This window comes from Homo sapiens, chromosome Y (genome assembly GCF_000001405.40).
Source record: "Homo sapiens chromosome Y, GRCh38.p14 Primary Assembly".
Taxonomy (NCBI): Eukaryota; Metazoa; Chordata; class Mammalia; order Primates; family Hominidae; genus Homo; species Homo sapiens.
This window is the reverse complement of record NC_000024.10, coordinates 21,892,529-21,919,023: the sequence shown is the minus strand read 5'-3', so window position 1 is coordinate 21,919,023 and position 26,495 is coordinate 21,892,529. Positions and strand designations below refer to the sequence as shown.

The window sequence follows — 26,495 nt, the reverse complement described above, 5'->3', positions numbered from 1 at the left end:
GCTCCAACAGAGCAAAGCCTGTGCCTCCCACCCCACCCCCCCGGCACCCGTCAACTCTGGGGGCAACTCCAGGAGAGGCCTGCGGGCCTTGCCCTGCTGAGAACCACATCCTACACCTATGTGGAACAGGGTTCCTGGGGGGCCCCACAGGGCCCTTAGCCTGTCACACTCACACTGGGGCTCAGCTACCCAGCAGGGTTAGCTGCGCACGGCAGCCCTGGAGTCGGATGCCAAGGCCCTGGCTTCCAGAGCCCCGCTAGCAGGCACACGGCCACCACTGCACTTGTGAGAGCCTCTGCACCAGCAAAGCAGTGCACACGGATCACTGCATTGGCGACCATGGCGGTAGGCCTCCCGTGTGCCCAGGGCACAGGATGAGAAGTCCTTTGGAATGCCCCTGTGAGTACAGCATCCTCAGGGAGGAACCATGGAACTCGGAGTATGTATTTGCCTAGACCTGACAGAATCCTTGCAGGGTTTCAGCTTCTGGTGCAGATGAATTCCACCTCAGCAACGTACCAGTCGACTTTAGTCCCACGCACCCGCCCTGCCCCAATCCCCCCAAGCCACCGCTGCTGCCCTCGCCCCAGCAGCAGCGCTGGTCCCTCTCTCTCCCCTCTGGATCCGCAATATTCAGTACCATCAGCCTAGCCTGCCTAATGAAGTGAGATGTTTCATGTGTTCCCTGTGGGTTAGTTAATGTCTTGCCACACTCAGGATGCCAGTTAGGGTGTAGGTCTTCCATGCCCACAATTGCAAAGGGCTCACAGTTCGCGTGTGCCTTAATCCACCGCGGCCCGCCACGTGGCACAAGCGTGGTCTCGGAAGAGTTACCGCGAGATGATGGAGCCGCAGGCCTGCTGGGGCGGAGCGGCCTCAGGACACGCCCACAGCCTTTGCAGTAACTGGCTGACGCCCACCGCCTTCGCAATGATTGGCCGCTGGAGGTAGGCGGGATTTCCGGGCACGGCTTCCGGCGTCCTTCCCTCTCAGGGAAGCTCCAGCTGTCCCTCCCGCAGTTGGCCCTGTGGTGTTCCGAAGCCGGTTACGTACGGCCTGAGGGCCAGGCGAACCTCAGGCTCTTTGTCCTACTAAAAAGCGCAGGTATTTTCTGTTTCTCTGGACAGCTGGGTCTCTCGGCAAGAATAGAAAGCGAAGGTTTGGGATTTTGTCTATAAAAGGGGATGGGTTTTCTATGTGTGGGTGTTGAATTACGGGAGGAGTCAGTGGGGAAAGAACTCCTCAGTGCTATTAAGAGACTCACTTTCGTTAAACTCATTGATTTTTCCTGAGGATTCTACCTTTAACTGCCTAATGTGTCCGACTAGTTGTGGGAGATGGTGCTAAGCCGCCATTGGTTTTCATGTGCACTTTTTATTAAAGCGGGTTTTCTCTGTGAATGTGGTGATAATTCAGAATACAGGCAATACACTTAACCACTGCGATTAAAAAGTCACACTTTTGGTTAGCACATGTCGCGTGTCTGATTTGCTTGGAAGAATTATCAAATTTTGACATAAATTGTGTTACTTTAGTGTATGTAGAAATATGGGGCCACAAATAATCTGAGTTTCAGTTTGCCTCTGTAAAGCCTGTGATTGTCTCCTTCGTTGTATGGCAGTATTTGAAACGTTTCATGTGTCTTTGGCACCGTAAATAATTTAAACCGAATAAGTGGGTGTAATCGAGACAAATGGAGTTAGATAGCCGAAAACTGGAACAAAATAGATGCGCTTAAGTTATTCTGTTAACCTGGCACACTGCCTTACTCCTGTAGTCCTAGCATTTTGGGAAGTGGAGGTCGGAGGATGGCTTGAAGTCAGGAGTTTGAGACCAGCCTGGGTAACGTACTGGACTCTTTCATTGCTATTTTCGCATCAGGGACTGGTTTAGTGGAAGTCAGTTTTTCCTCAGAGAAAGGTTGCGCAGGGGAAGAAGGCGGCGAGGTGGACAGGTTTGGGAGTGGGGGCTGGCGGCAGGTCTCCGAGGGGCACGTGGTGGGGCGGGTCTTCCGGTAGGAGCAATGTGACAGAGGCCAGGTGGGGCAGTGAGGCTGTCACGGGGACAGGGAGGGCCAGCGAGGGAGTAGGGAGGATGGTTTCCGGATAAAACTGTACCACCTCAGGTCATCCTCAGGCGTTACATTCTCCACAGACAGGTATTGCAGGTCATCCTCCGGCATCACATTCAGGCCACAGATAGGTACGGGTTGAAGGCTAGGGTTTGGGGATCTTTGACCTATTGTATATTTCAAATCACTAAAAGATGGTAAAATATTTAAAATATTCTCCTCCTAGAACATTTTAAGTAGCTTGATTTAATCTCTTATCCAAATATCATGCTGAGTGTGGTGAGTCACCCTTGAAATCCCATCACTTTGGTAGTCCCAAGCCGGCAGAACACTTGAGCCGAAGATTTGGAGACTAGCTTGGGCACTATGGGGAAACCCTTGTCTATTTTTAAAAATACAAAAAATTGCCCAGCTGTGGTAGAAAGCGCCTGTAGTACTAGCTACTTGGGAAGCTGAGATGTAGGAAGATCAGTTGAGGCTGGGTGGAAGAGCCTGCAGTGAGCAGTTCACTTTGGCGACAGGAGACAGACATCTCAAGAAAGAAAATATGCAAAACATCACACTGTACCTCATAAATAGATTCTTTTCAAATAAAATTATTTAAATGGGGACATTCTTCATATTGCAACTGAGGAAAATTACAATAGCTTTTCTTATCTAATTTTTAGAAATGAGATTTTTGTCAGGTACATACTAAAATGCAGCATTTGTCCATGAAGTTAGTGCCCCTTTGCTCTGAGTGTTACAAATTTTACATATATAAAGTAAGAAATACTAAAAAGATGTCAGCCTCAGGAAGGGAATTTTACTTGGGTTTTCAGCACAGTATGTAATAAAATTTTATCTTTTTAGCTTATTTATATCTAAATATAGATAATTTTTTACCATTTACAGCACAATGGTAGAAGCAGATCATCCTGGCAAGCTTTTCATTGGTGGCCTCAATAGAGAAACCAATGAGAAGATGCTTAAAGCAGTATTTGGGAAACATGGTCCCATATCAGAAGGTAACTCTTAAAACCGTGTGTGTGTGTGTGTGTGTGTGTGTGTGTGTGTGTGTGTGTGTGTGTATTTTCACATGTATATTTCAATAGGTATGTTTAAAATATGTATGTTATATATATATGTTTTGAAAAAATATATTTTTTCAAAGTTCATTGTATACCTACATTAAAATGCCTTATGCATTTTAAACTCTTATTTTGTAGTATCTGTTTGATATTTGGAAAATTCTCATAGTAGTAGGTTAAGGTTCTATGGAAAGGATAACCTACTACTTAGAAAGGAAAATGAGGGAAAGTAAATGTGCTGTGGAGTTCCGAAACAAACTGGAATAAACTAGACTGACTGTAGGGGTGACTGAGTATCGAGAACCATAATAGTGATGTGAAATGCAATTATTTTTTAGTTTGATGTAACCTTTAGATGGTGAGTACCTTGATGAGTCCATTATATGAATGTAAAATGTTTTCATATATTTTAGTTCTTTTGATAAAGGATCGAACCAGCAAATCCAGAGGCTTTGCATTTATTACTTTTGAGAACCCTGCAGATGCTAAGAATGCTGCCAAAGATATGAATGGAAAGGTAAGAGTCCCTTATTACTAATATTCTAACTCTGTTCTTCAATTAACAATATTTCTAGGTCTTTTTAATATTGCTAAACTTTTGAGGATAGTAGAATGACACATGAAGCCATCCTCTTTTTTGTGCCATATACGTGCAAGTGTAGTTGGAAGGGTATTGGAATTAACATTACATAAATTAATATTTGGTAACCTTTTTCTATGTTTGTATTTCGATATGAGTGCAAATAGATTTTAAAAGGTTTTGAAGAGCTTTAAAACTTATAAGGAACCCTCATGTAAATGAAAGTAATAAGTCAATATTTATTAAATGCTATTAATTGAAGTACATCCAATTCATGGAAATACTTTTAGAGCGTAGACAAACTGGATAGACATCTAGACAGACGCACAAGAAGGAAAGACTCTTTCCTTCTTGAAGAATATATTTTATGAAAATATATTCTTGCGAAAGTGTATTTAAATAAGACCTTTACATTTACGGAAAGGTTAAGTAGTTGAAAATAGAAAATAATATGAGAACATTGAAGTCAGATAACAGAAGAAGTAACTGGCATTCTTGGCTCCATGCTTGCTTTTTCTCCTAAGGACATTTCTTTCCTGTCACCAGAGTGATTTATGTAACATGAATAGCTAATTACTCATTTCCCCAGTGTGTTTGAGGACTTGTTTTGATTGAACCAATGGTCTCTTGTCCTGTTGAGTCTTAAATCTAGAGATTGTGTGTTTACTTAAGCTTTAAACTTCTATGTAATGATATTAATTATTGAATTCCTTTACATTGTAGTCAAGAGCATTCCATTCTGTGCTCTTTAGTGTTTTTTGCTTTATAACATTATCCCAATCATGCCGGGCATGGTGGCTCATGCGTGTAATCCCAGCGCTTTGGGTGGCCAAGGCGGGCAGATCACAAGGTCAGGAGAAAGAAACCATAATGGCCAACATGGTGAAACCCTGTCGCTACTAAAATACAAAAAAAAAAATTAGCTGCATCTGGTTGTGTGTGCCTGTAGTTCCAGCTAGTCAGTAGGCTGAGGCAGGGGAATCGGTTAAACCCAAGGAGGCAGAGGTTGCAGTGAGCCGAGATCACGCCGATGCACTCCAGCCTGGCAACAGAGCAAGAATCCGTCTCAAAAAAACAAAAAATAAATAAAATAAATAAATAACGTTATCCCAATCTGTTTTTAGGTCCTGTTAGTCTTCACGCTATTCCCAAAGTGCTTTTTTAGACTTCTTGAGAATTATCCTTCCCTGTGTATGGCTCATAAATAAAATTTATGCTTCAAAAACCACTTAGATTTCATAATTTTCTTCCTCATTGCGTATTGTAGGTATTTTCTACTCGCTGTACTATGTATTAATCTATTGATCGTGAAATTGTATATAGTGCATATTTAAGTCTTGCTAGTTGCTTTTCTTTCTGTTACATCTAGCACACTTCCTGTCACATAGCAGAAAGTACATTTTTATTCACCCTTATAAATTAGTATTTCAAGCTGTGGTAGAAACCGAGAGTTGCTTTTGGTTCATGGCTTTGTGGTAGGTATGGAGATAATTTTGACTTCTGTATAGGAAGCTATGATAATTTCTTTTTTCCCTCTAGTTTTCAAGCAAAAGGGCAGGTAATTTGTGTAAAGTTTTTGTTCGTTTGTTTGTTTTTTAAGATGGAGACTCGCTGTGTGCCCTAGGCTGGATTGCAGTGGGGCCATCTTGGCTCACTGCAACCTCCGCCTCCCGGGTTCAAGCGATTCTCCTGCCTCAGCCTCCCAGTACCAGGGGCTACAGAGGCGCGCCACCACGCCCAGCTAATTTTGTACTTTGAGTAGGGATGGGGTTTCACCCTGTTAGCCAGGGTGAGCTCTATCTCTTCACCTCATGATCCACCCGCCTTGGCCTCCCAAAGTATTGGGATTACCGGTGTGAGCCACCGCGCCCAGCCAACGTTATTTCTAAATTACTTCATCTCACGTATTTTATTGTGTTAAAATAACTATGAATGTTGTATGCACATTAATGTTAAGATGGCCAATAAAGGAGGTTCTTTGAGTTTTCAGGGGGAATTAACAGTTAAGGAATTTTGGCTGACTTCAGAACACTGGGAAGGAAGCAGCCGTGGGCAAATCTGGGGAAAATATTTTGAGCCCAGAAATAACAAAAGAAGTTTCAAGGTAGGAACAACGGGCGATGTGGCTGCAAGCGGTCTTGTTCAGGGATTTAAGTCCTTCCTCCAAATAACAAAAGCCATGTAATTTTTAAATCGCATTATTAGCTGAACTGTTTTCAAAAATTGCTGTGGCCTGTAGAAAAGATTACAGTGAAAAATGTTATTATGAAATTAATTAGGATAGTTAAGCATTTCTGAGAAATTACCTGAAGTACTATATTAAGATTCGTTTTTTAGGGGCACGTCTAAGGCAATGTAAGAAATGAGTAAGGCAAGAAAACTTAATGAGATCAAACAAGGATCACATTTACAGAAACATTTTTAGAGTCAATATAGAATTGTAAATCATATGGGGACATTTTATGGAAGTGTTAGCAAATCCAACAAGAAACAACTCATAATGAGTAATGTGCCTAATCACTCTGAAAAAGTAAGCTCATTTTTTTTTTAAATGACACGAGTTTCATTGGGACACTGCAACTTTCAAATCAGTGATGTGACTACAAAGATGAAGTGGATTATATATTGTAAAAAACAGATGTGCCACATTCTTCCACAGAATGTGTGATGGGTCAAACTTTTTTTTTATGTTTGAGTTTTTTTTTTTTTTAATGATGGAAAAGTTTTCAAGGAATTTGAATAATAGAATTTGTGTTTGATCCCTTAATGGAAGGCATGTGCTCAGTAACTATCTCAAATTTGGCATTGCGAAAGATGTGTTCATTTTAGAAGAAAAAAAAGTTTCCTTTTGGGAGAAAAATACCTCAAATTGAACTACAGTTGATGTAAAAATGTTTGTAAAATGTGCTTACGTTAAATGTGCCGGTGTTATTGATAGTACCCTTAATACTTCTAGTCTTTGCATGGAAAAGCAATAAAAGTAGAACAAGCCAAGAAACCATCTTTTCAAAGTGGTGGTAGGCGGAGACCACCAGCTTCTTCGAGAAACAGAAGCCCTTCAGGAAGTCTGAGATCTGCAAGAGGAAGCCGTGGAGGAACAAGAGGGTGGCTTCCCTCACAAGAAGGGCACCTGGGTAATGTTTTAAAATATAAAGATGGAACCATAGGACTGAAAGAAAATAAGTTTGACGATATTGAAATTTCTTAATTTTTTTCTTTCCTGTATGAAGAGAAAATTAGCTTATTGATAATAAGCAAACTTATTTCTAAGTACTATAAAGGTGTATTATAAGAATGATTGAACTAATATCTAAAATTTGTTTAACAATTATAATAAGTTTGCACTGAAGTAACACACATTTGAAACTGAGTTGTGTTTGTGAATGCTGATTGCCTGTACTCAACCGGTTTTCTGCAGAACTCATTTATATTCATTATACTTTAGAGTTTTCTACTTTAGGGCCCAGAACTTCGTGTCAGTTGTATTATCAAAGTACGATGTAATATTTAAAATTTTCCAACAGGAAGAAGTAACTGAATACTGAAGATTGATTTTGCAGTATTTGTTTTCTTGTGTCTACATGTGGAAACATCTATGCAAATGTATTGCTTTGTAATTTTGATACAGAGAGTTTGTACATTGGCCTGCCGTAAAGCATTTTCAATTTAAGAAATGTAGAACTTTAATTTCTGAAAAGAGTCTGTGACTCTGGAAAGATCTAAAAACCACTGCTTCACAGATATGTATGAATCTTTCTTTGCTGGAGGCTGAGTCACTGAAAATGATATTTATGAGTGATTTACTTAATAGAAATGAGGGGTCCATCTTTACATATAAAAGAAAAACAAACCATATATTTAAAAAAAAGGAAAAAGAAAAAACTATTGGATGGGCTGTGCGAGGTGGCTCACGCCTGTCACCTCAGCACCTGGGGAGTACAGGGGAGGTGGACCACGAGGTCAGGAGTTCCAGACCAGCCTGGCCAACATGGTGAAACCCTGTCTCTCCTAAAGATACAAAAAAATTTGCCTGGGCCTGGTGGCGTGCACCTGTAATCCCAGCTACTCAGGAGGCTGAGGCAGGAGAATCACAGGAACCTGGGAGGCAAAAGCTGCAGTGAGCCAAGGTTATGCCATGGCACTCCAGCCTGCGTGATAGGGCAAGAGTGCATCTGAATAAATAAATAAATAAACCTGTTGGTTAACTTGTATTATCTATTAACCAACCTTCAGAACTCTAACAAATAGCTTGGAGTTTTAATAACCAGACATGTAATTAATTGGAGATTGTTTTCAAGTTGAAATTGCAGTGTTTGCTCCATTTTAAGATGCGTAGCTTCACGGCTGTTTTGCCTCCACTGATCTTGAGGGTGAGCTTCAATTATACTCTGCCACGGACGAGAATGTGTACATAAATTCTAACCTGTAACACCACCTGGCAATTGGCATATATCTACGTTTTTGTAGATGTATAAAAATATGTTTATATTACCGAATATGCAATTCTTAAAGACTGTTAAAATTCAGCATAGTCTCATCTGAAAATTAGTGTCTCATAAGGGAATTTTAAGAATTCTATATTGTGTTAACAAATTTTAGAGACAATGTATTTTCCTGATATGTGATTTCTTGGTATTGGAAATATTTGAGTTTCTTTGAATGGAAATTAGTTTATCTTTATGATGTGCTTTGAAAATTTTTCCTCATTACAGAATGATATAAACAGTCATTTATCATTTTTCTTTTAATATTTTTATGTATATTATATTTGGATATTTTAGTGATAGATTTCTGCCCCCGTTCACTCCCCATTTTCCCACATCTCTCCTTCATACCGATATATTATGATACTTGAGTTTCTTTCTAGATTTTCTAAATGAACTTTTAATGCTTGAAGTGTACTAATACCTTGTAGGAATGCTAATTTTATTAGTTTAGACAAAATGTGAATTTGTTATAAAATGTAGAAAATATTTGTAAACAACTAAAACTTAGCCATTTAAGAAACAGTGACGTCAGTTAACTAAAAAGATTTTGTTTGAAATACAGATGATGGTGGATACACTCCTGATCTCAAGATGAGTTATTCTAGGGGACTCATTCCAGTTAAAAGAGGTCCATCTTCAAGAAGTGGAGGTCCTCCTCCGAAAAAATCTGCTCCTTCTGCTGTGGCAAGAAGCAATAGTTGGATGGGAAGCCAAGGTAAATGCTGCCTGACAGAAAGACCGTAGTTTTTGTATGACTAAAAATGAGCCGTTTTAGCTGAATGCTTAGCTTTAAGTTCATTGAACAAAAGAGAAGTGACACATACGTGAGCATAATTACTGATTGATAGCTTTTATTATAGTTTCTATCTCACTAGGTACATTTCAGATTTATGTTGAAGAAATACTTGAGCTTCTCATTGCAGATCAAAGAAGTGATTAGAGTGAGGCCAACATTCCTTTTAATCCTGTGTTGGCTAGAAAATTCCCCTTAATTTTTCTAAAAGTTCCTAGCAGTATTCTTTGATGGTAGGCTTCTTGATCTAATTAACTCTTCCATTTCCTAAGTCCCCTGGTGTCCCATTCTAAAAATTGCTTGTTCGGTGACTTTGCTGGGTTGGAGTCTTGCTCTTACTAGGTGAGAGTGCACTATGTGAGACGACGGCTTACTGTAGCCTCAAATTTGTGAGATGACGGCTTACTATAGCCTCAAATTCCTGGGCTCAAGCAATTCTGCTGTTTCAGCCTCCCGAGTTTGTGCAACTACAGGCATGCAGCAGCACACCTAGCTACATTTTTTTCCCTATGTTTTTGTAGAGAGAGGATCTGACTACATTGTCAAAACTGATGTTAAAGCCTGGGGCTCAAGCGGTCCAGCTGCCTCAGCCTTCCACACTCACTCACAGTGTGAGCCGCTAAGCCTGGCCATCCAGCTTCTGAGACCTCAGTAATGCGTATGTGCAAGGCATACTCACTGCTTGCATGAAGATTCAAAAGAACTACAAGAGCATTTAGCAGACAAGGAGTCATTGGGCTTAAATATGATTTAAAAATAAATTTAAGGCTCGAGAGGTAGACACGTAGGAGTCCAAAATTCTTAAATTAAGTGGATATCACAGAAATGCAGAGTTGTGAAATATAGGTGTATGTAAATCAGTAATTGAGATTGTACCGGGATGTTTAAACATTAACACAAGATCCTTAGTGTAAGATTTGAAATTATTTGAGGAGAGAATTTAGAACTCAGCAACATGAGGTGAGCGGTAGGGTTGAATGCAAGTAATACTTTTGAGAAGAATTGTAAGACTGCAGACTGAACAGAAGAAAATAAGACAATAAATAAAAGTTCTTAGCAAGGAAGTTTAAGCAGAGCAAATTAAAATTCTTTCTTAGTCCTCCATCCGCATACGGAGGAAGTTAAAAACTGCCATTTTCAATTTTACATTTCATACGTAGAGTATCGGTGAAGGGAGGTATTTATTGGCTTCAGGATACCCAAGCCAACACATTTCCATTGGAAAATTAGCCAGTGAAGGTATCATATGTGAAACACTGACCGCTAAGGAATAGCAAGTGAAGAATATATTAGAGGAGAAACTTTCTATTTTGAAACAGCAACAGTGTTGTAATGACCCCTTGCATAGCATTGCTTTCTTTGCAGTAAAAGCAAATCTTGACCATCATTAGAAAATCTTCACTAATACATTTTAATTTGTCAACATTTAAGATAGAGCCAACCAGTTAAAGAACTTTTATGTAAACATTTAGCATATAGTCATTTAAAGGTAGCTGTATTTATGTGTCTGTGAGATGGACTGAATGATATTGGAAAATCTACCTTCTTTGGCTGAGAAAGAACAATGTATGTAAACTTTAAAATCAGTGAAGAGTTTGATGGTTTTACGTGTTTTCCCTGTGTCACTCACAGTCATCAGTAATTTATATGGAAAGGAAAATAATAACTAAGTAGTTATTAACCATTACAAATGAACTTTTACCTAAGCATTAATGTTTGCCTTCAGCTTCATTAGAAGAACTGGCCTTGTGGGAGCCATGGGATTATCCAAAGCCATGAGAAATATTCACAGTGTCATGTCTGTCTAGTAATTTAGGAAACAAAGAATGGAGTCATAGAAGAAATAATTTTAAAAAGTTGTTTGAGAGAAGAGAAAATAGCGTTTCAGATTTGGTGTTCTTTACGTAATGTTCCATCATTTGAATGTTAAAGGTCCCATGTCACAAAGAAGAGAGAATTATGGAGTTCCTCCACGCAGAGCGACAATATCTTCCTGGAGAAATGATCGCATGTCAACAAGACATGATGGTTATGCAACTAACGATGGGTAAAGGAAAAATTAAAAAGCACAGTTGATTTTTTTTTCCTGTGGTGATGAAATTCACATAACAAAATTAAATATTATAAGGTGAACAGTTAGGTGGTGTTTGATACATTCTGTGCCATGCAACAACTACCTCCATCGAGTTCCAGAACATTTTCATCACTCCAAATTGAAACTCCTACTACCAGTTAAGCAGTCCCTCCCATTTTCTCCTTTTCCTCAGCTGCTAGATAACACCAGTCAGTGTTCTGCCTCTGAACTTACCTGTTGTGGGTATTTAATGTTAATGTGCTCAAACACTACATGACTTTTTGTATTTGTCTCCTCTCCTTTTGCATGATGTCCTGAAGGTTCATTTACATCATAGCACTTCACTCCTTCCACAAGCTATTAACCCATTATTTTATCTGCGTTGTTTCCACTCGAGTATTTCTACGCACCAATATTTGTTTGAGTGTGCTTACTCGGTTCTGGGTGTATATGAGTGGAATTGCATGGTCCTATGATAATGATGTTTGTTTTCTTGAGGAACCACCACATTTCTCCATAGTAGCTGCATCATTTTCCGTTCCAACCTAGCATTGTATCAGCAATCCAATTTATCTACATCCTCTCAAACACTTGTTATTTCCTGCTGTTTGAAATTTATTGCCATTCAAATGTGTGTTTGAAATATGATATCCCATTTTCGATTTGAAATGCATTTTCTGCACCCATTAACTCATCATGCACATGTATCCTAGAACTTAAAGTATAATGAAACAAAAAGAAATGCATTTTCTGAATCGCTGAATATGAGTATCAGTCCCGTGTGCTTTTTGGGCATTTGCCGATTTTATTTGGAGAAATATCTGTTTAGATGTTTGGCCTTTTAATTTTGTTTAAGTTGTAAGTTAGTCATGTATTGGATACTAGAAGTTGAAAATTTAAAATTTGTTGCTTAAACTTATGCACACAGAAATCATCCAAGTTGCCAAGAAACGAGGGATTATGCTCCACCATCTAGAGGCTATGCATACCGTGATAATGGTCATTCTAATCGGGATGAACATTCCTCTAGAGGATATAGGTACTGTAACTTTTTCTGAATTTGTCAAATAGATTTCTTAAATTGCTCATTCCAACTAACGTTCTATCAGGGCTCCAATTTATCTACATCCTCTCAAACACTTGTTATTTCCTGCTTTTGAAAATTTATTGCCCTTCCAGTGTGTGCGTATGAAATATGATATCTCATTTTGGATTTGAAATGCATTTTCTGCACCCATTAACTCATCATGCACATGGACCCTAGAACTTAAAGTATAATTAAAAAAAAAAGAAATGCGTCTTCTGAATCACTGAATATGAGTATGTGTCCCATGTGCATCTTGGGCATTTGCCCATTTTATTTGGAGAAATATCCATTGAGATGTTTGGCCTTTTAATTTTGTTTAAGTTGTAAGTTAGTCATGTATCGGATACTAGAAGTTGAAAATTTAAAATTTGTTGCTTAAACTTATGCATACAGAAATCATCGAAGTTCCCGAGAAACTAGGGATTATGCTCCACCATCTAGAGGCCATGCATACCGTGATTATGGTCATTCTCGTCGGGATGAAAGTTATTCTAGAGGATACAGGTACTGTAACTTTTTCTGGATTTGTCAAATAGATTTCTTAAATTGTTCATTCCAACTAACATTGTATCAGGGCTCCAATTTATCTGCATCCTCTCCAACACTTGTTATTTCCTGCTTTTGAAAATTTATTGCCATTCATCTGTGTGTGAAATATGATATCTCATTTTGGATTTGAAATGCATTTTCTGCACCCATTAACTCGTCATGCACATGGACCCTAGAACTTAAAGTATAATAAAAAAAAGAAATGCATTTTCTGAATCACTGAATATGAGTATCTGTCCCATGTGCTTTTTGGGCGTTTGCCCATTTTATTTGGAGAAATATCTATTTAGATGTTTGGCCTTTTAATTTTGTTTAAGTTGTAAGTTAGTCATATATCGGATACTACAAGTTGAAAATTTAAAATTTGTTGCTTAAACTTATGCATACAGAAATCGTCGAAGTTCCCGAGAAACTAGGGAGTATGCTCCACCATCTAGAGGCCATGGATACCGTGATTATGGTCATTCTCGTCGACATGAAAGTTATTCTAGAGGATATAGGTACTGTAATTTTTCTGGATTTGTCAAATAGATTTCTTAAATTGTTCATTCCAACTAACATTGTATCAGGGCTCCAATTTATCTACATCCTCTCAAACACTTGTTATTTCCTGCTTTTGAAAATCTATTGCCATTCATCTGTGTGTGTGAAATATGATATCTCATTTTGGATTTGAAATGCATTTTCTGCACCCATTAACTCATCATGCACATGTATGCTAGAACTTAAAGTATAATAAAACAAAAAGAAATGCATTTTCTGAATCACTGAATATGAGTATCTGTCACTTGTCCTTTTTGGGCATTTGCCTATTTTATTTGGAGAAATACCTATTTAGATGTTTGGCCTTTTAATTTAAAGTTGTAAGTTAGTCATGTATTCGATACTAGAAGATGAAAATTTAAAACTTGTTGCTTAAACTTATGCACACACAAATCATCCAAGTTCCCGAGAAACTAGGGATTATGCTCCACCATCTAGAGGCTAGGCATACTGAGACTATGGTCATTCTAGGCAGGATGAACATTCCTCTAGAGGATATAGATACTGTAACTTTTTCTGGATTTATCAAATAGATTTCTTAAATTGTTCATTCCAACTAACATTGTATCAGGGCTCCAATTTATCTACATCCTCTCAAACACTTGTTATTTCCTGCTTTTGAAAATTTTTTGCCCTTCCAGTGTGTGTGTGTGAAGTGTGGAAGCTCCTTTTTTATTTGAAATGCATTTCCTGAATCACTGATTATGAGTATCTGTTTCATGTGCTTTTTGGGCATTTGGGCATTTTGGGCATTTGGGCTCTGTGGGCATTTTATTTAGATGTTTGGCAATTTAATTGTGTTTAAGTTGTAATGTAGTTATGTTTTGGATACTAGAAGGTGACAATTTAAAATTCCTTGCTTCAACTCGTGCACGCAGAAATCATCCAAGTTCCCGAGAAACCAGGGATTATGCTCCACCACATAGAGACTATGCATACCGTGATTATGGTCATTCTAGTTGGGATGAACATTCCTCTAGAGGATATAGGTACTAACATGTTATCTGGATTTATCAAATGGATTTCTTAAATTGTTCATTCTGAAATTGAAAAGACTTTTTTTTTTTCAATTTAGTTATCATGATGGCTACGGTGAGGCCCTTGGTAGAGATCATTCTGAACATCTAAGTGGAAGTTCTTATAGAGATGCACTTCAGAGATACGGTAAGGGTCCAGGATGGATTTGTAAATTACAGAATTTTATTTAATAGACCAGATTGTTATTTTAATGAAATTCTAAGGAAAATTGTAAAGGCCATATGCAACATGTTTAAATATTGAGTATTCTTAACAGTATAAAGCCTAGGGAATGATATGAAGGTGAGAACTTCAGTTAACGTTAAGAAAATGTGACTGAGCATTTACTTTAGAATTAAGTTTGTTAAGCTGCAAAATACTACTCTTACACTTCTCTTAAATAAAACCTTCTGACTATTAAAGCCTTGATTAATATCCTGTCAACAAAGGCGGAGGAAAGCAGATATTTCCAAATAGTACTTTAACTAATTCATGCTTTAATGATAGCAGTAAAAATGTTTAAATGTAGTCCCACATATTATTTTACCAACCCTGCAGGGACCGCTCATGGTGCACCACCTGCAAGAGGGCCTCGGATGTCCTATGGTGGAAGCACCTGCCACGCATATAGTAATACACGAGATAGATATGGCAGAAGTTGGGAGAGTTACTCGAGCTGTGGTGATTTTCATTATTGTGATCGTGAGCATGTTTGCAGAAAAGACCAAAGGAATCCGCCTTCTCTGGGTAGGGTGCTCCCTGATCCTCGTGAAGCATGTGGTAGCTCAAGTTATGTGGCATCTATAGTAGATGGTGGGGAGAGTCGATCTGAAAAAGGAGACTCGAGCAGATATTAAAGCAAGCATTGAAAGTAATAGTTATTGCATACCAATCCTTGTTTGCAAATCAAAAATTGAAATGTTATTTCTGCATTGTTACCTGCATATTACTGAAAGAAACATGTTGGTTTTGTGGAGAGAGGTAGATACTAACTTCCTCCATGAATTTTTTGAGGTATTCAAAGGAAAAGGAATTGTTTTCAAAGTAATTTCATACTTGTTGATGCTATTTGAAAAGTGTTTAGATGTAATATCTACCTTAAAATTTTCACAATAAAATTTGACATGTACTGCAAGATGCCTGGTGTTATTGGTTAGCCGCGCATGCTTAAAGCAAATTCAATAGGAGAGTAAATTGTGTAGTCTGTTGTACATTTTCCTTTGTTTCTTTGAACATAGGTACAAAATTAGGGATGTGTTATGTCGCCCTTGCAAGCTGCTCAAGTTTTGTAATTAGGCTGTTTCTCTTTAAAAACTAACAAGGTTAAAATGTTGGAGAAGTCTTCAGAAAGACTACAAAACTGTCTGCCTCACCATAAAACGTTTATTTTTTAGAGGAATAGTACAGGTCAAAGGAAATCATTAGATGTATTGATACTAAAGTTTAAGACATCCGGAACATTCTATGTGAAGCATTCTGTGACTGAAGAGGATAACGGTAATGAAAACTTTTTTTTTCACCTAAATCAGAAGTGAACCAGCTAAGTTTCTCAGGTGCGTAGCATAATGAATTTAAATGTTCGTAGTTTAAATAGTGGAAAGTAAGTGTTTTGTCTTGTGAGGTTCCCACGTTAATTTTTTCTTGAATATTTTGACAGTGGATGTTGTAAGTAATGGTTTAGTAATATGTTCTTACAGATAGGAATAATCTAGAGTGGTTGGGATAGTATCAGTTTTTTTTTGAGGTGAAGTGTATAGCTTTGTCGCCGAAGCTGGGGTGCAGTGGCTCTGTCTTGGCTTATGGCAACCGCTGCCTTCTGGATCCAAGCTATTCTCCTGCCTCAGCATCCTGAGTAACTGGTATTAGATATGTGTGCCGCACAGCGGGGCCAATTTTTGTATTTTTAGTGCAGACAGCGTTTCACCTTGTTTGCCAGGCTGTTCTTAAAATCCTGATCCACCCTCCTCAGACTCCCGAAGTGCTAAGATTATAGGCGTGTGCCACCACTGTCAGCCTATCGTATTTAATTGATAATATGAATGGAAACGCTTTAAACCTCATACTTAGGGGAAAGTGAAGTGTATAAAACATAAACAACAGCATAAAGTTTCCGACGGGATTGCTTAAAGTTTTAAGACATCACTGAATGATACAAATATTTAGACCGAAATAACTAAATGAATTAATTTTCCTGATTATACAAACTAAAGAAATGAAATACATCAAGTTCCAGAAGTTTTGCAGTCCATAATTCTTACAATTGACAGACTAATCTGCAAGGAGGAAGTATTTTCTTGAAAAATTTTGACAGAATCATCAATTTTTACAGGGTAAGGGTACAAATAATTTTAAAGGGAGAAGTTACCAACTTTGATTTTCAAGTGAGTTATTCATGTTATGGAGTGTTTTCATTCACCTGTAGCATTGTGAGGATGAAGTGAAAAGATAAATCTCCCGAGTCTTGTGTATCTTACTGTCCATGTGTGATGGCTCAGGTCTCTAATTCTAACACTTGGGGAGGCCGAGGCTTGCAGAGCACTTTAGGACAGGAGTTGAAGACCAGGCTGGCCAACACCATGAAACCCCATCTCTACCAAAAATACAAAAATTAGCCGGGCATGGTGGTGCCTGCCTGTAGTACGTTGCAGTTAATTGGGAGGCTCAGGCAGGACAGTGGTTTGAACCTGGGAGCCTGATGCTGCGGTGAGCCGATATTGCACCATGCACTCTAGCCTGGGTGACAGAGTGCGACTCCAACACAAAAATAATTATATCAATCAACAAATATATACATAATAAATAGGGTATCCTTCAGTTCAAGCACTTACCGATTCTTTTTTCTTTTTTAGAGACAAGGTCTCACACTGTTGTCCAGCCTAGACTGCAGTGGCACCATCATAGCTCACTGCAGCCTTGAACACGGGCTTGAAATGTGCAAGCCTTCCATTTCAGCCTCCCAAGTAGCTGGAATTACAGACACACACCAACCACCGTGCCCAGCTTTTGTGTTTGTGTGTGTGTGGTAGGGACAATGCTTTGGATATATTGTTCAGGCTGGTCTCAAACTCCCAGACCGAAATAATCCTCCTTCCCTGGCTTCCCAAAGTGTTGTGATTATAGCCGTGAGCCACTGAGTCTGGCATATCTTTTCTCATTATGAGCGACATTCCACCTCACTGAGTCTGGCGTATCTTTTCTTGGTATCAGCGACATTCCACCTTCGCTCTATTAATTATTTTGAGATGTACAATAAATCATTATTAAGTGTAGTCATCCTGTGCCACTGAACACTAGATATTATTCCTTCTAAGCAAGTATAATTTAACCCACCCCCATCCCCTCTTTGATCCCTCGCTTACCAGTTCACATTACTTGTATCAAAATATCACATGTATGCCAAAAGTATTTACAACTGTTAGGTACAAATTTTCATTCCCTTCCTCCTTCCCTCCCTTCCTTTCTTCCTTCCTGTCTTTCTTTCTTTTTGTCTCTGTATCTTTTTCTCTCACTGATTTTTTTTTTTTTAAGAAAGAATCCTGCCCTGTCACCTAGGCTGGAGTGCAGTGGCGTGATCTCAGCTCACTGCTCCCTCCTTATCACGGGTTCAAGCAATTGTCCAGTCACACCCTCCTAAGCAGCTGCGACTGCAATCATATGACACCAATCCTGGCAAATATTTTGTATTTTCAGTAGAGACCAGGTTTCACAATATTTGCTCAGGCTGGTCTTGAGTTCCTTTCCTTTAGTGATCCACCCACATCAGCCTCTCAAAATGCTGGGATCCAGGCATGAGCCACACTGCCCACCCAGTTGTATGCATTTCTCTCTCCCGTGATCTCTCCTATTTTATTATTTTATTCTCTTTTTATTTCTGAGACAGCGTCTCGCTCTGGTGCCCAGGCTGGAGCACAGTGGTGTGATCTCACTTTACTGCAAACTCCATCACCAGGGTTCAACGGATTCTCCTGCATCAGCCTTCCAAGTAGCTGGGATAACATCCACGGGCCACCAAGCTTGGCTAGCTTTGGTATGATACTAGACGTGGCATCTTGTCATGTCTAATTTCGTATCTGTTTTAAAGCTCGATTGATAAGCAATATTGACTTCCTGGAATGTTTTATGTTTACAAAACAATTATAGTACTACTATTTAGCCTCCTCAGATAAAATATGGTAACACACAAAACATACACACACAGACAAAGACACAGTCAGTGATCAAAAAAAATCAGTGTAGGCCACGACCTAAATGAAAGGTGAGCTGCTGCAGTTGCCTAGAATTAAAGCAGACCAGAGTTGACCCATACCAGGCTGAGAGATGTGAACAGAGGCTTTCCAACAACTCTATCAGATACATGTTAGATTATTCTCCAGCCATAGCGAAGGGACATTAAAGATCTGTTGTGCTTAGAAGAGTCTCGATGATTTGACTTTTCCAGGGTATTAGCATTCATGATGTTGGCCTTTACAGCTCTCTGCAATGAAGTCAGTAGACGACACAGTTTTTCTAGGAGTCTAAAGTGCTTTTCAGAATTATCTAAAACTTAGTGGCTTAAAACCATAATTATAATTTACTAACTGTCAGTCTCTGCAATCGCCCTCAGTCTCTCAGCCAAATGAATGTGGTTCAGGGGCGCTCAGGAGGATGCAATCTAGTGATGGCCAAAGATGGGGACATTGGCGGGTGTCTTCTCATCTCCCTGGTGCCATGGCTAGCGTGACTCAAATAGCAGGGGCTGGACTGCTGAGATGCTCAGACATCTTGTTCTGTTTCTTTGAGTCTCTCCATTGGATGTCCCTTCTGCATAGTGTTATCAGGGTGTTAGACTGCGTGATGTACTGGTCGGGGGCTCCTAAGGGGTTTGTCGCCATGAGAGCAGGAGACCTAGGCAGAGCCGTGTCACCGTCTCTAAACTAGGCCAGAGGTGGTCCAGTATCCAGAAACTGCTTGCAGTGTTTTCTATACATTAGAAGCAAGTACTGTGTTCAGTTCCATCAGGAATATTTTCAAATGGGTTTGAGAAGAATTTCAAAGTGTGTTTCAGACCACTACAGTGGCCATGCCTAATAATTCCTTATTTTTACAAGTGCTGGATGGGTTTTTCCCAAAATAATGCTTTCTTGGGGGGTGTGGGGTGGTGGAGACAAAGCTTTGGTCTTGTGACCCAGGCTGTAGTGCAGTGGCGTGATCTTGGCTCACTGCAACCACCGCCTCTTGGGTTCAACCGATTCTCCTGCCTCAGCCTCCCAAATAGCTAGGATTACAGGAACCTGCCACCATGCCCAGCTAATTTTCGAATATTTAGTAGAGGTGGGGTTTCACCATGTTGACCCCGCTGGTCTTGAACTTCTGACGTCTGGTAATCCACCAGCCTTGGCCTCCGAAAGTGTGGGGATTGCAGGCGTGAAACACCCCGTCCGGCCTTCAAATTATATTTTCATACCCACTCACTTCCACAATTTTTTGGACCTATCTGCGTGTTCTCCTCGGAGGCGGGGGGACGGAAACAGTATCAGCGTTCTTGAAAAATTTATGAAAGAGAGAATGACAATACTATACTAGGTTTAACCTATTCACAATACTGTATTTACTGAATAAAAACATTGCGTTTAAAATTCTACTATTGACTAAATAAATAAAATACACTCTTCCATTCACTCTAAAATGTGTGTACATGAAGAGTATACAAGAAGGGTTCTAATACAGAAACAAATAAATGAGGCTGGGCATGGTGGCTCACGCTGTAAGCCTGGCAGTTTGGCAGGCAAAAGTGGGTGGATCAGTTGAGGTGAGGAGTCGGAGACCAGCCTGGCAAATATGGTGAAACCCAGTCTTGACTAAAAATACAAAAATTAGCTGCACATGGTGGCATGCACCAGTAATCCCAACTCCTCAGAAGGCCGAGGCAGGGGAATTGCTTGAAGCTGGGAGGCGGAGGTTGAGGTTGAGCCGAGATCCTGCCACTTCACTCCAGCCTGGGTGACAGAGCAGTACTCCTCAAAACACACACAGACACCCCAAAACAACTAAAAAATGAAAATAAAAATTTTGTACTCACAGTTCAACTCGCATATCTAACGGAAAACAGAAAGTACATTAAAACAAAGTTTCCACAAAAGGCAAATAAAACAAATGAATCACCTTGCACATAAAATTAAAATAATAAACTGAAGAGAACTATACGGAAAAAAATTCAAAATTTACAAGTAAGTACTCTACAAGAAGCTGAAAGTCACTCAAAACTTTTCTGGATTCCATGTCTCTACAGTGCAAACATGATCATAAAATTTGCTGGGGGCAGAACCATCAAAATGTATCTTACAACTCAATAAACACTTCAAGTCTCACATAAGAATTGTAATGGAAAAGGGACGCGTCTGCAGTATTTCTACACAAATCTGAACAAACACTATTTCTTTGTACACATTGTTTCACTGTTCCAAGAAAATAACTTCCATATTAATATTAGGGGATGTGACAAAGCAGGTCTTCATCATGATAAGTAACACTGGGTGTCCACACCACTACTCAGGTGGGCCTTAATTCCCAGCCAGGTTCCCTCCCTGGACACACAATGAAGGGCTCATCCATTTTGCAATCTCTTCACATTTCCTCCCCTGTGAGCCCAGTGTGGTTCTCCAGATTCCCTGTGTAGCGGCCTCTCTTGTCTGGTGGGGCAGGGTGGGGCAGGGAAGTGTGGGTGATGATGGCAGAGGGCAGAAAGCATCTCAGGGAAGCCTGGGATCATTGTAACAAAAAATGATGGGCGTGGGACAGCCCATCAGGGAAGACATAGAGAGGGGCCTTGGGAGGATATCTGCGTGGAAGGTGAGAGGGCCCTGGTTGAGCCCAAACTGAGCCCCAAGTGGTAGCCGGCCTCAGGCCTCAGCCGGTGAGGGATGATGAGACAGCTACCACTTGAGCCTTGCTTCTCACCCACTGACCTTAGACACTTATTCCTCTTAGGCGGCTGAAGGTGCCCCAATCCTAAAATGTGGGTGTTACAGTTCTTTGATGGCCATTTCTCCGCCAGCCCATGGATGGCGTGGGATTGCTCACTGCAGTCACCTCCCTGAGGCTTGGTTTCTCCATGTGGGGCACAACTCCAGGAATCAACCGCCTCTCAGTCCCCAGCCCCAGACTGCTCACCTGGCCTCCTCTCTGTTCACTCTCTAATGGCCTCCCTCCCTGGAGAAGTACTGCAGGGGATTGAGCTACAGGCTCTGGCTGATGATCTAGGGGACTGCAGAAGTGGGTACAGGTTAGTTCAGGTCATGGCTCAAAGCCAGTTCCCCAGAGGCCAAGGAATGACCAGCAAGATCCTTTCCCATGATGCCCTACCTGGCGCTCACCTCAGCAATCCTGCCAGAACCTGGGCAGTCATGGTCAGCCAACCAGCTGAAGAAGGTCAGGTAGGAGCTGTACGGCCTGCAGCTGGAGGCTTGACCTTCATGATCCCACAACCACTAGACTGCAGTGGAATGAGACATCCCGTATCCTGCAGAGAGAGGAGTCAGGAAGGTTCATGCCAGACCTACCCTCCCACACACCAGCTCCCCTACCATGCTGGGAGGCGCTCCTTACCGAGGATGCCAAGGCAGTACTCCTGAATGATCACTTCATTGTGGAAGTAGAGACTGTGATAAAAGGAAAACTTCATCCTGCTGCCGGTACCCGGAAGAGTTGCTTTCCTCCCCTTACCTGGCCAAGAAGGAGAAAGAGGACGTACTCAAAGGAGCATTTCATGTAGCTGGGGTGAGGTGACCTGTTAGCTGGGGTGAAGCATGTGTTTCTCCTTCCCAACTCTCTCATTGAGACACCCCCGGGTCCCAGGGGTACCTCAACCTGACCCAGACACCAGACCCCTCCCGAAGACTCAGGCTCCTTAGCCCGACCTGCAAATCCATCACGTACGTAGCTTAGCAGGACTTCATCATCATTTGTGATCCCGGCCAACATCTCGGTGTGCCGCACAATCTGCCTCTGGTCAAGGAGCCGCCGGATGATTGGGTGGGCGTGCAAGGAAACACCCTGCAACTTTGCAAGAGCACGGAGAGTGTGGGGCAGGGCACCTTCCCTTCCAGGTCCTCTGTCTCTGTCTGGCGTGGAGGGCACCATCAGAGCTGTGGTGGTCTTGGTGGTGGGTGGAGGCAGGCCCAGACAACCTGCTCTGACCAGGGGCTGGCACTGAAGAAGTGGGCAGGGGGTTGGGGGCGGGGTGTTGTTGTGTGAGGCGACTACTTGCTCGGCGTTTCTGAGCTGCAGGAGGCCCTCCTGTGCTGGGTGCTGGACAGGCTCTGCTGCTGTCTGGGTGTGCCGTCTCTCCTTCTCCTGGTCTCCCTGAGGGGTGCACGTGTCCACCCCAGGCAACCGCTGTGGGTAGAAGTAGCTACGGGGCTGTGCCTGGCTCTCCCCGTGGAGCTCGAGTGGTTTCAAGGGAGCTTATATATACTCAGGGCCTAAACATCTTTGGGTGCAGCGCTGGCAGAGGGAAGAAATTGTGTCTGGGGAGATAGTGCCTGCCTTGCATAGGACAGCAGCCCCGTGCACAGTGACACCGAGTCTTGAGCACCTTGTGTTTCTGGGGTAAGCTTGCTGGACACAGGCAAGGGGAGCAGGGAAGTTCCGTGGCTGGCATGGGCATGCAGACTCCCCTTCCTCCAGGGACTTTCCCGGTGAATCGTATCCTTCAACTTTCTGCTGTTATGATGGGTCCTTGGCGCTGCTATTCTCCCTGGTGAGTGCTGTGCTTGGCTTCCTGTCCCTACCACATGCCCTCAGGGCACATGCAATTAAGCTGCCCTCCTATCCGCATGAGCCTGTTCTCAGTTCCCCTTGTTGTCCCCCATGCCCTGAATCCTGGCTGACCGCCAGTGCCTACCACCTTGTTTCCCCCCACCTCCGCTCCCGGGAGCTCCGCGCCCATCCCCTGCTGCCAACCATCCCGAATTGGCAGCTGCAAGGATATGGCTCTGGCCCAGAAGCCGGGGATGCCCTGTGGCCTGGGACATTCACGTAGCCGAGCTCCAAGTGAAGGACGTCCAGCGAGTCTGTTGCTGGCCGGGGCGTACTGGGGCCAGGGCCAGGCTGTGCCTGCAGGTCCTCCTGCTGTGGCTCCACATTGGCCTTCCTCCTTGGCCACCACCTCCATCTCTGCAATGATGTCATCCCCCACTAGCATGCCTCTCCCCCCAGGGTTGTCTTCCTGCTCTGTGCACAGACCATCCTCTCCTGCACAGCCTCCAGCCTTAACATGGTGCCCTCCTTGAGGCTCCAACAGAGCAAAGCCTGTGCCTCCCACCCCACCCCCCCGGCACCCGTCAACTCTGGGGGCAACTCCAGGAGAGGCCTGCGGGCCTTGCCCTGCTGAGAACCACATCCTACACCTATGTGGAACAGGGTTCCTGGGGGGCCCCACAGGGCCCTTAGCCTGTCACACTCACACTGGGGCTCAGCTACCCAGCAGGGTTAGCTGCGCACGGCAGCCCTGGAGTCGGATGCCAAGGCCCTGGCTTCCAGAGCCCCGCTAGCAGGCACACGGCCACCACTGCACTTGTGAGAGCCTCTGCACCAGCAAAGCAGTGCACACGGATCACTGCATTGGCGACCATGGCGGTAGGCCTCCCGTGTGCCCAGGGCACAGGATGAGAAGTCCTTTGGAATGCCCCTGTGAGTACAGCATCCTCAGGGAGGAACCATGGAACTCGGAGTATGTATTTGCCTAGACCTGACAGAATCCTTGCAGGGTTTCAGCTTCTGGTGCAGATGAATTCCACCTCAGCAACGTACCAGTCGACTTTAGTCCCACGCACCCGCCCTGCCCCAATCCCCCCAAGCCACCGCTGCTGCCCTCGCCCCAGCAGCAGCGCTGGTCCCTCTCTCTCCCCTCTGGATCCGCAATATTCAGTACCATCAGCCTAGCCTGCCTAATGAAGTGAGATGTTTCATGTGTTCCCTGTGGGTTAGTTAATGTCTTGCCACACTCAGGATGCCAGTTAGGGTGTAGGTCTTCCATGCCCACAATTGCAAAGGGCTCACAGTTCGCGTGTGCCTTAATCCACCGCGGCCCGCCACGTGGCACAAGCGTGGTCTCGGAAGAGTTACCGCGAGATGATGGAGCCGCAGGCCTGCTGGGGCGGAGCGGCCTCAGGACACGCCCACAGCCTTTGCAGTAACTGGCTGACGCCCACCGCCTTCGCAATGATTGGCCGCTGGAGGTAGGCGGGATTTCCGGGCACGGCTTCCGGCGTCCTTCCCTCTCAGGGAAGCTCCAGCTGTCCCTCCCGCAGTTGGCCCTGTGGTGTTCCGAAGCCGGTTACGTACGGCCTGAGGGCCAGGCGAACCTCAGGCTCTTTGTCCTACTAAAAAGCGCAGGTATTTTCTGTTTCTCTGGACAGCTGGGTCTCTCGGCAAGAATAGAAAGCGAAGGTTTGGGATTTTGTCTATAAAAGGGGATGGGTTTTCTATGTGTGGGTGTTGAATTACGGGAGGAGTCAGTGGGGAAAGAACTCCTCAGTGCTATTAAGAGACTCACTTTCGTTAAACTCATTGATTTTTCCTGAGGATTCTACCTTTAACTGCCTAATGTGTCCGACTAGTTGTGGGAGATGGTGCTAAGCCGCCATTGGTTTTCATGTGCACTTTTTATTAAAGCGGGTTTTCTCTGTGAATGTGGTGATAATTCAGAATACAGGCAATACACTTAACCACTGCGATTAAAAAGTCACACTTTTGGTTAGCACATGTCGCGTGTCTGATTTGCTTGGAAGAATTATCAAATTTTGACATAAATTGTGTTACTTTAGTGTATGTAGAAATATGGGGCCACAAATAATCTGAGTTTCAGTTTGCCTCTGTAAAGCCTGTGATTGTCTCCTTCGTTGTATGGCAGTATTTGAAACGTTTCATGTGTCTTTGGCACCGTAAATAATTTAAACCGAATAAGTGGGTGTAATCGAGACAAATGGAGTTAGATAGCCGAAAACTGGAACAAAATAGATGCGCTTAAGTTATTCTGTTAACCTGGCACACTGCCTTACTCCTGTAGTCCTAGCATTTTGGGAAGTGGAGGTCGGAGGATGGCTTGAAGTCAGGAGTTTGAGACCAGCCTGGGTAACGTACTGGACTCTTTCATTGCTATTTTCGCATCAGGGACTGGTTTAGTGGAAGTCAGTTTTTCCTCAGAGAAAGGTTGCGCAGGGGAAGAAGGCGGCGAGGTGGACAGGTTTGGGAGTGGGGGCTGGCGGCAGGTCTCCGAGGGGCACGTGGTGGGGCGGGTCTTCCGGTAGGAGCAATGTGACAGAGGCCAGGTGGGGCAGTGAGGCTGTCACGGGGACAGGGAGGGCCAGCGAGGGAGTAGGGAGGATGGTTTCCGGATAAAACTGTACCACCTCAGGTCATCCTCAGGCGTTACATTCTCCACAGACAGGTATTGCAGGTCATCCTCCGGCATCACATTCAGGCCACAGATAGGTACGGGTTGAAGGCTAGGGTTTGGGGATCTTTGACCTATTGTATATTTCAAATCACTAAAAGATGGTAAAATATTTAAAATATTCTCCTCCTAGAACATTTTAAGTAGCTTGATTTAATCTCTTATCCAAATATCATGCTGAGTGTGGTGAGTCACCCTTGAAATCCCATCACTTTGGTAGTCCCAAGCCGGCAGAACACTTGAGCCGAAGATTTGGAGACTAGCTTGGGCACTATGGGGAAACCCTTGTCTATTTTTAAAAATACAAAAAATTGCCCAGCTGTGGTAGAAAGCGCCTGTAGTACTAGCTACTTGGGAAGCTGAGATGTAGGAAGATCAGTTGAGGCTGGGTGGAAGAGCCTGCAGTGAGCAGTTCACTTTGGCGACAGGAGACAGACATCTCAAGAAAGAAAATATGCAAAACATCACACTGTACCTCATAAATAGATTCTTTTCAAATAAAATTATTTAAATGGGGACATTCTTCATATTGCAACTGAGGAAAATTACAATAGCTTTTCTTATCTAATTTTTAGAAATGAGATTTTTGTCAGGTACATACTAAAATGCAGCATTTGTCCATGAAGTTAGTGCCCCTTTGCTCTGAGTGTTACAAATTTTACATATATAAAGTAAGAAATACTAAAAAGATGTCAGCCTCAGGAAGGGAATTTTACTTGGGTTTTCAGCACAGTATGTAATAAAATTTTATCTTTTTAGCTTATTTATATCTAAATATAGATAATTTTTT

The 26,495-nt window shown here is 42.4% G+C and overlaps 2 protein-coding genes across 12 annotated transcripts in view; both read left to right on the top strand.

Moving 5' to 3' along the window:
• The first annotated feature begins 991 nt into the window (after window positions 1–991).
• Window positions 992–16,847, top strand: RBMY1E (RNA binding motif protein Y-linked family 1 member E). 5 transcript variants are annotated; one of them, XM_011531494.4, is made up of 12 exons: window positions 992–1,104; window positions 2,966–3,078; window positions 3,555–3,658; window positions 6,678–6,855; window positions 8,771–8,923; window positions 10,934–11,048; window positions 12,004–12,114; window positions 12,556–12,666; window positions 13,101–13,211; window positions 14,133–14,243; window positions 14,330–14,418; window positions 15,666–16,847. In XM_011531494.4, the coding sequence occupies exons 2-12, from the start codon at window positions 2,970–2,972 to the stop codon at window positions 15,671–15,673; spliced, it is 1,200 nt and encodes a 399-aa protein (XP_011529796.1). In that variant the 5' UTR covers window positions 992–1,104; window positions 2,966–2,969; the 3' UTR covers window positions 15,674–16,847. The 5 variants fall into 5 exon arrangements, with proteins under 5 accessions (XP_011529796.1, NP_001006118.2, XP_011529795.1 ...); NM_001006118.3 differs by lacking the exon at window positions 15,666–16,847 and adding an exon at window positions 14,830–15,402; XM_011531493.2 differs by lacking the exons at window positions 14,133–14,243; window positions 15,666–16,847 and adding an exon at window positions 14,830–15,402.
• A 1,430-nt stretch (window positions 16,848–18,277) lies between these two features.
• Window positions 18,278–26,495, top strand: part of RBMY1D (RNA binding motif protein Y-linked family 1 member D) — a 32,316-nt gene continuing 24,098 nt past the window's right edge. For 5 of the 7 annotated variants that reach the window (XM_011531487.4, XM_011531488.4, XM_011531489.2 and 2 more), the window contains exon 1: window positions 24,498–24,645. The gene's annotated coding sequence lies outside the window, so the exon portion shown is untranslated. Of the gene's footprint in view, window positions 18,299–24,497; window positions 24,646–25,318; window positions 25,384–26,495 lie in introns of those variants that run through there. The other 2 variants (NM_001320950.1, XM_011531486.2) reach the window with 2 other exon arrangements.

Excerpts from the sequence above, each read along its gene's own strand:
- RBMY1E (NM_001006118.3), top strand. The coding sequence starts at position 2,970 with ATGGTAGAAGCAGATCATCCTGGCAAGCTTTTCATTGGTGGCCTCAAT. Across the intron at positions 3,079-3,554 it reads ACATGGTCCCATATCAGAAG|TTCTTTTGATAAAGGATCGA; the intron begins GTAACTCTTAAA and ends CATATATTTTAG. Across the intron at positions 3,659-6,677 it reads CCAAAGATATGAATGGAAAG|TCTTTGCATGGAAAAGCAAT; the intron begins GTAAGAGTCCCT and ends TAATACTTCTAG.